The sequence below is a fragment of the Homo sapiens genome, chromosome 1 (genome assembly GCF_000001405.40).
Source record: "Homo sapiens chromosome 1, GRCh38.p14 Primary Assembly".
NCBI lineage: Eukaryota > Metazoa > Chordata > Mammalia > Primates > Hominidae > Homo > Homo sapiens.
Window position 1 is genome coordinate 168,342,511 of NC_000001.11, and position 13,088 is coordinate 168,355,598.

General features: G+C 41.0%; 1 annotated feature.

The window, feature by feature from the left end:
* Positions 11,534-12,180: an enhancer, noted in NCBI's record as "H3K27ac-H3K4me1 hESC enhancer chr1:168323282-168323928 (GRCh37/hg19 assembly coordinates)". NCBI's record gives its function as "activates a minimal SCP1, AML or CMV promoter by ChIP-STARR-seq in naive H9 embryonic stem cells {active_cell/tissue: H9 hESC(naive)}" and the evidence as "EXISTENCE:reporter gene assay evidence [ECO:0000049][PMID:30033119]".

Sequence of the window (13,088 nt, forward strand, 5' to 3'; positions counted from 1 at the left end):
AGGACCCCAGAGAAAGTCACATTGCTTACATTTTCCTGCTTCCCCCTCTGTCTCTCCATTTATTCCTTAGGGGAGAATATCGTATTGGGGGAGGAGCGCAGGAAAAGTCACCCAAAAGCCATGGGAAAGGTTGTGGAAATGGGGAGTGCTGGTCCCACCCCTTTCGTCCTGGTGATGGGGTGGGACGGCAGGCGCCAGCCTCCGTTTTTCTGCCCGTGGGTATGTGTGGTTGACCTCCTTAAATCAGAGCCAAGCGCGTGACCCAGAACTCTGCACAATCACCCACGCCCACGGCAAAGCAGATGAGGCTCTAGAGCTTGCAAGTCTTTATCTAGGGAACTGCGTCATCCTCCTCGGTCGGACACCAGGTGGCAGCAAAGCTCCAACTCATCAGTCACCCCACCCTCCGTCCAGGCCGTCTTCTGACGCAGAACTTAAAAAAGATACTGCAGATTTTCCTTCTAAGGAAGGAGCTACCCATACAAAACTAGCAGCTTTAGAGAGAGCCATAGCTAAAACTGAAACGTCGTCAGGATAAAAGCTGCCTTCTGAGTAGGACAGGCAAAACACCAAAAACAAAGTTCAAAACCAAATAATCATTTACGAAGCTTCTTGAGGAGGGTATAATGCAATTTTGGTCCTGGTGCAAAGAAATAAATTTGGTTCTGTAAGCAAAAAAATAAATTTTGGTATATAAATGTAGGGGATTCATTATTAACTGAATCTTATTCTTTAGTCGAAGAAGGTTTCCTGAAGAAGGAGGGGTGTCAGGCAATTTTTTAAATACCAGAAAGCTGAGCCTAAGATGCACTTATGAGGGTTAAGTGGTCCATTGAAATAAATATATTTGCTTACAGTATAAAGGATTTTATACTGCAGTTTTGGTAGAGTTGTCTGACCTGACACCTCGATATTAGAGGTGTATGAAAAGAGACAAAGCTTGTGGTTTTCTGAGGCCCCCCTGCTACCTGCTTGGCAGTGAAAATGTGAAGGTTTCATAATAAGTTGTTGGCTCTGGAGGAGATGGTTCTACATGTTTTACTGGTGTCCAAGGTCTACCGATGACTCTAGGGCCTGCAGTACTAATGAGCATCTCGTAGACAGTATATGGACCTCAGGCAGATGTTAAGATAGGGCCAGCCGAGGAGCTTTCTAATTGAGGAGGATTTACTCAGAAGGAAGAGTCCATCTGTGTTCTTTGAGCGTTTTGGAGAGTGGATGATCGAGCCCACTGTGTAACACAGCCCTGTTGTATTGCTGCCTCCTAGAGGAAGGACAAGGACAAGTGGGGGACAGAGGAGGCAGTGAAAACAGGAGTGGATCATTAGGGCCCAGAACACCTGAGTCCTGTCTCTCTAGGAAAAGCCAAGGTATCATGAGACCTCTGGTTGTTAGAATGTCGTAAGCCCACCCCACCATCCCTGCTCCCCACTCCCTCTCACATGCACTGCTGCTTCAAAAGGATTTTTTTTTGAGTGCTGCCAAAGTCCTTTAAGAAGCCAATCTATTTCATCTGAGACTGTTACGCTTGCAAAAGTGATCTTGCTGAAGATGAGCTTTTCAGCTTGCTTGTTAGCTACTTAGGTAGCTCTAGAGACCCCCAGGAGATGATACAAAAGGCCAAGGAGAGGAAGCCAGAATCAGAGCAAGCGTGAGAGCCCCCATGAGATACGTTGTCTTTTTCTGTCTGTCATCTAAGCAGCCCTGAATTCCAAGGGTAGTAGAGATTTGTAAGTATGTAGAGGATAAGAATCCTGATTTTGCCATCTGTGGGCTCTGAGTTGACATCCTCACGTTTCAGGGTCTTCATGTGACTCACAGTGAAACAGGGAACTTGGTCTATGTACTCAATGTCTTCTCATACCCCTCTTCTTCTCTTAGTAGCCTGGGTGATGGAATGAGACACATCTACTTGCTGTCCTGGGTCAATGGACTACTTACCCCTCATAAGTGCTTCTTAGGCTCAACTTTCTGGTATTTAAAAATTGCCTGACATCCCTCCTTCTTCAGGAAACCTTCTTTGACTAAAGAGTAAGATTCAGTTAATAATGAATCCCCTACATTTACGCACCAAAATTTATTTCTTTGCTTACAGTATAAATGATTTCCTGGTAAATCTGTGTGTTTATGCTAGGTTTGCTCATAGTTTGCATTTTCTCTATGCTTCCAAGTTTGCTGTGCTGTGTCCTAGATTTCTGTTTGCCAGAGGGCATGCAAATGAGGAGGTTGCCAGGATGAATGTTAAGTAAATCGATGTATAAAACATAATGTCCAAAAATATGGGCATGGTGCTTTATAGCTTACAGATATTTCACATATTTTACCGAATTTGACCTTTGCCCTATCACTGTTAGCCAAGATGATTATGCTCATGCTATAGATAGGAAACCGAGGCTGAGAAGTTAAGTAAGGGCACTGTCTTAGGGCAATCAGTTGGGAAGTGGCAGGAAGGTTTTTGTTACTGAAGTCCATGCTGTACTTGGGTATCTTAAACTGTTCCCAGTTTAACATAGTTAGGTGCTGGACACACATACCTGATGATAAGGGATGGAGTTGTTGTGACCTGAGTTAAGACAGATAAAAAACAAAATGAAAAGGTGCTGTATGTGGGTTAATTTGCCATAATGTTTTCCCTCTGTCTCACTGTCTCCTCTGTTTCCTGATTTCTTTTTTTAAGTGACAGAGTCTTGCCACCTTGCCCAGTCTGGAGTGAAGTGGCTATTCACAGGCATGATCACAGCACACTACAGCCTTAAAATCCTGGGCCCAAGGGACCCTCTTGCTTTAGCCTTCTGAGTAGCTGAGATTATAGGCTTGCACCTCTATGCCCAGCTTCTCTCTTGATTTTTAAAGGTAGTTTTATTCATTTTTTTCCCTGAGTATCAGTGTGGTTACTGTAGAAAAAGTAGAACTTTCTTTTTTTATTGAGACGGAGTCTAGCTCTGTCACCAGGCTGGAGTGCAATCTCGGCTCACTGCAACCTCCGCTTCCCGGGTTCAAGCGATTCTCCTGCCTCAGCCTCCTGAGTAGCTGGGATTACAGGCACACGCCACCATGCCCAGCTAATGTTTGTATTTTTAGTAGAGACAGGGTTTCACCATGTTGGCCAGGGTGGTCTCAATCTCCTGACATAGTGATCTGCCCACCTCAGCCTCCCAAAGTGCTGAGATTACAGGAGTGAGCCACTGCGCCAGGCCAGAATTTTCTTTATGAAAAGCCAGACAAATGCTCTCCAAATTCAAAGTAACCATGAAAGTGATGGTCAAAACTGGAAAAAAGAGAGAACTTGAGCCCAAATCAATGCTGTTTTTTTTTTTTTTTTTTTTTTTTTTATTCTTGAGGCTCTGAGCAGCTGGCCCCAAATAGCCAGATGCTGCTAAGGATCAAGGTCTTGCTTCCACTGCAGGTTTTTCTTGTTCTTGACTTTGTGGTAAAACAGAATGGGTGAGTGGAAAAGGCTCCATCATCTTGGGAGCTTGGCAGACCTAATTTGAAACATTGTCTCTGCATATCTGAGCTGAGATACTTGACAAAATTTTTAAAGCTTATTGAGCCTTAACTACCTCATGTGTAGGATGAGGCCCCATAATCCTTAGTTTGCAGTGCGGTTTTGAGATTAAGGCAGATAATACTTGTCAAATGCCTGGCACTTTGCAGGTAGCAGCTTTAAAACAGAAACAAGTGAACCTAAGCTCCTGTCTGATATCAAAGTAGTTGCTAGGATATTGTACAATTTCTTGGGCCTGAGACATTAAGTCAACTGACAAGTTTCAAGAAGGAAGAAATCTAGGTTGGGCATTGCTGTCTAAGTGTGATGCTTACAAGGTTGCCCACAAAGGCAGCCCTTTCTCTTGGATAGGGATCTGCTCTGGGCAATTTAACCTTCCAGGAGTCATGCAAAATGATTTTAAAATGACCATTTAAATTTTATCCCAAAGAGGTACAGCCATTATGGAAAATAGTATGGAAGTTCTTCAGAAAACCAAAAACAGAACTACCATATGATCCAGCCATCCCACTTCTGTGTACCTATCCAAAGGAACTGAAATCAGAATCCTGGAGAGATATTTGCACTCCCATGTTCACTGTGTTAATAGCATAACTTACATCCACCAAGATATGAATACTGCTTAAATGTCCACCAGTGGATGAATAGATAAAGAAAGTTTGGTATATACATAAGATGGAATATCAGTCAGCCTTAAAATAGAAGGAAACCTTGCCATATGCAACAACATGGATGGACCTGGAGGGCATTATGCTAAGTCAAATAAGACAGACACAGAAAGACAAATACTGTACGGACTCACTTATATGTGGAACCTACAATAGCCAAACTCATAGAAGCAGAGAGTAGAATGGTGGTTGCCAGGAGCTCAGGGGAAGGGGAAATGAGGAGGTGATGGTTGAAGGGTATAAGGTTTCAGTTATGCAAGATAAATAAGTTCTGGAGATGTACTACACAGTGTAGTGCCTATGGCTAACAATATTGTCTTCTATACATAAAATTTGCTAAGAGGATAGATGTTGTTAAGTGTTCTTGCCAAGCAAGAAATAATCACAACAGTAATGATATTAAAAGGGGCAGATGAAACTTAGAGAAGTGATGGATATGTTTATGGTCCTGATGGTGATGATGGTTTCATGGGTGTATGCTTATCTTCAGACTCATTGAGATGTATACATTGAATATATGCAGCTTTTTACATGCCAATCATACTGCAATAAAGTGGTTGAAAAAAATAAAAATAAAAATGAGAAATTCATGGAAAAAAATTTATCCTAAAGAATTTTACCATCTTTTGCCTTTATGGATGGTATATTTTTCTTTCTGTAAAAAGCACTTCTGAAGTGTCAAAGAAAATACAACACTATTCAAGAAAATCTAATAAACTTAAAAAATTGCTTTCACTTCTCTCACTTCGCAAAATTATTTTTTGTGCTCCAGTTTTTTTTTATTGTTTTTTGGTTTTTTTATATCTTCTTTGTTTAAAAAATAAATTTATGCTTTTATTGTAGATGCAGGGGATAAATGTGCAGGTTTGTTACATGGTATATTGCACCCAGGTAGTGAGCATAGTATCCAATAGGTAGTTTTTCAATCCATGTTGTCCTTCCTCCCTCCTCTAGTTGTCTACAGTGTGTAGTGTTCCCATGTTTATGTCCATGTGTGCTCAGTATTTAGCTCCCACTTATAAGTGAGAACATGCAATATTTGGTTTTCTATTCTGATGTTAATTCACTTAGGATTATGGCCTCCAGCTCCATCCATTTTGCTGCAAAGAACATAGTTTCATTCTTTTTCACGGTTGCATAGTATTTCATGGTGTATGTGTACCACATTTTCTTTATCCAACTCACCAATGATGGGTAGCTAGGTTAATTCCATGACTTTACTATTGTGAATAGCATGGTGATAAACAGGTAAGTGCATGTGTCTTTTTGGTATAAGGATCTATTTTTCTCTGGGTATATACCCAGTAATGGGATTGCTGGCATACATGGTAGCTATGTTTTTAAGTTATTTGAGAAATCTCTAAACAGCTTTCTACAGTGGCTGAACTAATTTACATTCCTATCAACAGTGTATAAGCATTCCCTTTTATCTGAAGCCTTGCGAGCATCTGTTGTTTTTTGACTTTTTAATAATAGCTATTCTGACTGGTGTGAGATGGTATCTAACTGTGGTTTTGACTTATATTTCTTTTATGCTTAGTGATGATGAGCATTTTTTCAGTTTGACACTTGTATGTCTTCTTTTGAGAAGTTTCTGTTCATGTCTTTTGCCTATTTTTTAATGGAGTTATTTGTTTTTGCCTGTTGATTTAAGTTTTTTTTTTTAATAGATTCTGGATATGAGACCTTTGTTGTATGCAGAGTTTTTGAATATTTTCTCCCATTCTGTAGGTTGTCTGTTTACTCTGTTGATAGTTTCTTTTTGCTTTTTTTTTTTGTGTGGCGGCAAGATTTATTAAAGCGAAAGCGAAAGTAAAACGAAAGAGAAAGTAAAGCTTCCACACGGTGGAAGGGGACCTGGAAGGGTTGCCGTTTCTGGCTTGGGTGTCTTATGCTTATATTCCCTTATGACTCTTCCCCTTTTCCTTTTTCTGTCCTATAGGATTAGCTTATTTTCTAGTCTGTTGATAGTTTCTTTCGCTGTGCAGAAGCGCTTTAGTTTAACTAGGTACCATTTGTCAATTTTCTTTTGTTCTTGCAATTGCCCTTGGGGACTTAGCCAAAAATTCTTTGCCAAGGCTGATGTTGAGAAGAGCACTTCCTAGGTTTTCTTCTAGAATTTTTATAGTTTGATGTCTTACATTTAAATCTGTAATCCATCTTGAGTTAATTATTATTATTATTTTTTTATTATACTTTAAGTTTTAGGGTACATGTGCACATTGTGCAGGTTAGTTACATATGTATACATGTGCCATGCTGGTGCGCTGCACCCACTAACTCGTCATCTAGCATTAGGTATATCTCCCAATGCTATCCCTCCCCCCCCCCCCCACCCCACAACAGTACCCAGAGTGTGATATTCCCCTTCCTGTGTCCATGTGATCTCATTGTTCAATTCCCACCTATGAGTGAGAATATGCGGTGTTTGGTTTTTTGTTCTTGCGATAGTTTACTGAGAATGATGATTTCCAATTTCATCCATGTCCCTACAAAGGACATGAACTCATCATTTTTTATGGCCGCATAGTATTCCATGGTGTATATGTGCCACATTTTCTTAATCCAGTCTATCATTGTTGGACATTTGGGTTGGTTCCAAGTCTTTGCTATTGTGAATAATGCCACAATAAACATACGTGTGCATGTGTCTTTATAGCAGCATGATTTATAGTCCTTTGGGTATATACCCAGTAATGGGATGGCTGGGTCAAATGGTATTTCTAGTTCTAGATCCCTGAGGAATCACCACACTGACTTCCACAATGGTTGAACTAGTTTACAGTCCCACCAACAGTGTAAAAGTGTTCCTATTTCTCCACATCCTCTCCAGCACCTGTTGTTTCCTGACTTTTTAATGATTGCCATTCTAACTGGTGTGAGATGGTATCTCATTGTGGTTTTGATTTGCATTTCTCTGATGGCCAGTGATGATGAGCATTTTTTCATGTGTTTTTTGGCTGCATAAATGTCTTCTTTTGAGAAGTGTTTGTTCATGTCCTTCGCCCACTTTTTGATGGGGTTGTTTGTTTTTTTCTTGTAAATTTGTTTGAGTTCATTGTAGATTCTGGATATTAGGCCTTTGTCAGATGAGTAGGTTGCAAAAATTTTCTCCCATTTTGTAGGTTGCCTGTTCACTCTGATGGTAGTTTCTTTTGCTGTGCAGAAGCTCTTTAGTTTAATTAGATCCCATTTGTCAATTTTGTCTTTTGTTGCCATTGCTTTTGGTGTTTTAGACATGAAGTCCTTGCCCATGCCTATGTCCTGAATGGTAATGCCTAGGTTTTCTTCTAGGGTTTTTAAGGTTTTAGGTCTAACATGTAAGTCTTTAATCCATCTTGAATTGATTTTTGTATAAGGTGTAAGGAAGGGATCCAGTTTCAGCTTTCTACATATGGCTAGCCAGTTTTCCCAGCACCATTTATTAAATAGGGAATCCTTTCCCCATTGCTTGTTTTTCTCAGGTTTGTCAAAGATCAGATAGTTGTAGATATGCGGCATTATTTCTGAGGGCTCTGTTCTGTTCCATTGATCTATATCTCTGTTTTGGTACCAGTACCATGCTGTTTTGGTTACTGTAGCCTTGTAGTATAGTTTGAAGTCAGGTAGTGTGATGCCTCAAGCTTTGTTCTTTTGGCTTAGGATTGACTTGGCGATGCGGGCTCTTTTTTGGTTCCATATGAACTTTAAAGTAATTTTTTCCAATTCTGTGAAGAAAGTCATTGGTAGCTTGATGGGGATGGCATTGAATCTGTAAATTACCTTGGGCAGTATGGCCATTTTCATGATATTGATTCTTCCTACCCATGAGCATGGAATTTTCTTCCATTTGTTTGTATCCTCTTTTATTTCCTTGAGCAGTGGTTTGTAGTTCTCCTTGAAGAGGTCCTTCACATCCCTTGTAAGTTGGATTCCTAGGTATTTTATTCTCTTTGAAGCAATTGTGAATGGAATTTCACTCATGATTTGGCTCTCTGTTTGTCTGTTGTTGGTGTATAAGAATGCTTGTGATTTTTGTACATTGATTTTGTATCCTGAGACGTTGCTGAAGTTGCTTACCAGCTTAAGGAGATTTTGGGCTGAGACAATGGGGTTTTCTAGATATACAATCATGTCGTCTGCAAACAGGGACAATTTGACTTCCTCTTTTCCTAATTGAATACCCTTTATTTCCTTCTTCTGCCTAATTGCCCTGGCCAGAACTTCCAACACTATGTTGAATAGGAGTGGTGAGAGAGGGCATCCCTGTCTTGTGCCAGTTTTCAAAGGGAATGCTTCCAGTTTTTGCCCATTCAGTATGATATTAGCTGTGGGTTTCTCATAGATAGCTCTTATTATTTTGACATACGTCCCATCAATACCTAATTTATTGAGAGTTTTTAGCATGAAGGGTTGTTGAATTCTGTCAAAGGCTTTTTCTGCATCTATTGAGATAATCATGTGGTTTTTGTCTTTGGCTCTGTTTATATGCTGGATTACATTTATTGATTTGCATATATTAAACCAGCCTTGCATCCCAGGGATGAAGCCCACTTGATCATGGTGGATAAGCTTTTTGATGTGCTGCTGGATTCGTTTTGCCAGTATTTTATTGAGGATTTTTGCATCAATGTTCATCAAGGATATTGGTCTAAAATTCTCTTTTTTGGTTGTGTCTCTGCCCAGCTTTGGTATCAGAATGATGCTGGCCTCATAAAATGAGTTAGGGAGGATTCCCTCTTTTTCTATTGATTGGAATAGTTTCAGAAGGAATGGTACCAGCTCCTCCTTATACCTCTGGTAGAATTCGGCTGTGAATCCATTTGGTCCTGGACTCTTTTTGGTTGGTAAGCTATTGATTATTGCCACAATTTCAGCTCTTGTTATTGGTCTATTCAGAGATTCAACTTCTTCCTGGTTTAGTCTTGGGAGAGTGTATGTGTCGAGGAGTTTATCCTTTTCTTCTAGATTTTCTAGTTTATTTGCGTAGAGGTGTTTGTAGTATTCTCTGATGGTAGTTTGTATTTCTGTGGGATCGGTGGTGATATCCCCTTTATCATTTTTTATTGCATCTATTTGATTCTTCTCTCTTTTTTTCTTTATTAGTCTTGCTAGTGGTCTATCAATTTTGTTGATCCTTTCAAAAAACCAGCTCCTGGATTCATTAATTTTTTGAAGGGTTTTTTGTGTCTCTATTTCCTTCAGTTCTGCTCTGATTTTAGTTATTTCTTGCCTTCTGCTAGCTTTTGAATGTGTTTGCTCTTGCTTTTCTAGTTCTTTTAATTGTGATGTTAGGGTGTCAATTTTGGATCTTTCCTGCTTTCTCTTGTGGGCATTTAGTGCTATAAATTTCCCTCTACACACTGCTTTGAATGCGTCCCAGAGATTCTGGTATGTTGTGTCTTTGTTCTCATTGGTTTCAAAGAACATCTTTATTTCTGCCTTCATTTCGTTATGTACCCAGTAGTCATTCAGGAGCAGGTTGTTCAGTTTCCATGTAGTTGAGCGGTTTTGAGTGAGATTCTTAATCCTGAGTTCTAGTTTGATTGCACTGTGGTCTGAGAGATAGTTTGTTATAATCTCTGTTCTTTTACATTTGCTGAGGAGAACTTTACTTCCAAGTATGTGGTCAGTTTTGGAATAGGTGTGGTGCGGTGCTGAAAAAAATGTATATTCTGTTGATTTGGGGTGGAGAGTTCTGTAGATGTGTATTAGGTCCGCTTGGTGCAGAGCTGAGTTCAATTCCTGGGTATCCTTGTTGACTTTCTGTCTCGTTGATCTGTCTAATGTTGACAGTGGGGTGTTAAAGTCTCCCATTATTAATGTGTGGGAGTCCAAGTCTCTTTGTAGGTCACTCAGGACTTGCTTTATGAATCTGGGTGCTCCTGTATTGGGTGCATATATATTTAGGATAGTTAGCTCTTCTTGTTGAATTGATCCCTTTACCATTATGTAATAGCCTTCTTTGTCTCTTTTGATCTTTGTTGGTTTAAAGTCTGTTTTATCAGAGACTAGGATTGCAACCCCTGCCTTTTTTTGTTTTCCATTTGCTTGGTAGATCTTCCTCCATCCTTTTATTTTGAGCCTATGTGTGTCTCTGCACATGAGATGGGTTTCCTGAATACAGCACACTGATGGGTCTTGACTCTTTATCCAATTTGCCAGTCTGTGTCTTTTAATTGGAGCATTTAGTCCATTTACATTTAAAGTTAATATTGTTATGTGTGAATTTGATCCTGTCATTATGATGTTAGCTGGTTCTTTTGCTGGTTAGTTGATGCAGTTTCTTCCTAGTCTCGATGGTCTTTACATTTTGGCATGATTTTGCAGCGGCTGGTACCGGTTGTTCCTTTCCATGTTTAGTGCTTCCTTCAGGAGCTCTTTTAGGGCAGGCCTGGTGGTGACAAAATCTCTCAGCATTTGCTTGTCTGTAAAGTATTTTATTTCTCCTTCACTTATGAAGCTTAGTTTGGCTGGATATGAAATTCTGGTTGAAAATTCTTTTCTTTAAGAATGGTGAATATTGGCCCCCACTCTCTTCTGGCTTGTAGGGTTTCTGCCGAGAGATCCGCTGTTAGTCTGATGGGCTTCCCTTTGAGGGTAACCCGACCTTTCTCTCTGGCTGCCCTTAACATTTTTTCCTTCATTTCAACTTTGGTGAATCTGACCATTATGTGTCTTGGAGTTGCTCTTCTCGAGGAGTATCTTTGTGGCATTCTCTGTATTTCCTGAATCTGAACGTTGGCCTGCCTTGCTAGATTGGGGAAGTTCTCCTGGATAATATCCTGCAGAGTGTTTTCCAACTTGGTTCCATTCTCCCCATCACTTTCAGGTACACCAATCAGATGTAGATTTGGTCTTTTCACATAGTCCCATATTTCTTGGAGGCTTTGCTCATTTCTTTTTATTCTTTTTTCTCTAAACTTCCCTTCTCGCTTCATTTCATTCATTTCATCTTCCATAGCTGATATTCTTTCTTCCAGTTGATCGCATCGGCTCCTGAGGCTTCTGCATTCTTCACGTAGTTCTCGAGCCTTGGTTTTCAGCTCCATCAGCTCCTTTAAGCACTTCTCTGTATTGGTTATTCTAGTTATACATTCTTCTAAATTTTTTTCAAAGTTTTCAACTTCTTTGCCTTTAGTTTGAATGTCCTCCCGTAGCTCAGAGTAATTTGATCGTCTGAAGCCTTCTTCTCTCAGCTCGTCAAAGTCATTCTCCATCCAGCTTTGTTCCGTTGCTGGTGAGGAACTGCGTTCCTTTGGAGGAGGAGAGGCGCTCTGCTTTTTAGAGTTTCCAGTTTTTCTGTTCTGTTTTTTCCCCATCTTTGTGGTTTTATCTACTTTTGGTCTTTGATGATGGTGATGTACAGATGGGTTTTTGGTGTGGATGTCCTTTCTGTTTGTTAGTTTTCCTTCTAACAGACAGGACCCTCAGCTGCAGGTCTGTTGGAGTACCCTGCCGTGTGAGGTGTCAGTGTGCCCCTGCTGGGGGATGCCTCCCAGTTAGGCTGCTCGGGGGTCAGGGACCCACTTGAGGAGGCAGTCTGCCCGTTCTCAGATCTCCAGCTGCATGCTGGGAGAACCACTGCTCTCTTCAAAGCTGTCAGACAGGGACGTTTAAGTCTGCAGAGGTTACTGCTGTCTTTTTGTTTGTCTGTGCCCTGCCCCCAGAGGTGGAGCCTACAGAGGCAGGCAGGCCTCCTTGAGCTGTGGTGGGCTCCACCCAGTTGGAGCTTCCCAGCTGCTTTGTTTACCTAAGCAAGCCTGGGCAATGGCGGGCGCCCCTGCCCCAGCCTCGCTGCCGCCTTGCAGTTTGATCTCAGACCGCTGTGCTAGCAATCAGCGAGACTCCGTGGGGGTAGGACCCTCCAAGCCAGGTGCGGGATATAATCTTGTGGTGCGCCGTTTTTTAAGCCGGTCGGAAAAGCGCAGTATTCGGGTGGGAGTGACCCGATTTTCCAGGTGCGTCCGTCACCCCTTTCTTTGACTCGGAAAGTGAACTCCCTGACCCCTTGCGCTTCCCAAGTGAGGCAATGCCTCGCCCTGCTTCGGCTCGCGCACGGTGCGCGCACCCACTGACCTGCGCCCACTGTCTGGCACTCCCTAGTGAGATGAACCCGGTACCTCAGATGGAAATGCAGAAATCACCCGTCTTCTGCGTCGCTCACGCTGGGAGCTGTAGACAGGAGCTGTTCCTATTCGGCCATCTTGGCTCGCCTTGAGTTAATTTTTGTATATGGTGAAAGGTAAGAGTCCAGTTTCATTCTTCTGCATATGAAAGGGAGTCCTTTCTCCATTGCTTGTTTTGTTGGCCTTGTGCAAGATTAGATTGCTGTAGGTGTGTGGCTTTATTTCTGAATTTTCTCTTCTGTTCCATTGGCCTATGTGTCTGTTTTTGTACCAGTACCATGCTGCTTTGGTTTCTGTAACCTTATATTACAGTTTCACGTCAGGTAGTGTGGTGCCTCCAGCTTTGTTCTTTTGGCTTAGGATTGCCTTGCCTATTCAGGCTCTTTTTTTATTCCATGTGAATTTTAGAATAGCTTTTTTCAAATTCCGTGAAGCATGGTGGTAGTTTGATAGGAATAGCATTGAATCTGTTAATTGCTTTGGGCAGTTTGGCCATCTTAAAGATATTGATTCTTTTAATCCCTGAGCATAGAATGTTTTTCCATTTATTTGTGTCATTCTGATTTCTTCCAGCAGTGTTTTGCAGTTCTCTTTATAGATATGTTTCACCTCCTTGGTTAGCTGTATTATTAGGTATTTCATTTTCTGTGTGGCTTTTGCAAATGGGATTGTGTTCTTGATTTGACTCTCAGCCTGAATGTTATTGGTATGTAGAAATGCTACTGATTTTTGTACATTGATACTGTATTCTGAAGCCTTACTAAAATCATTTATCAGTTCTAGTAGCCTTTTGGCAGAGTCTTT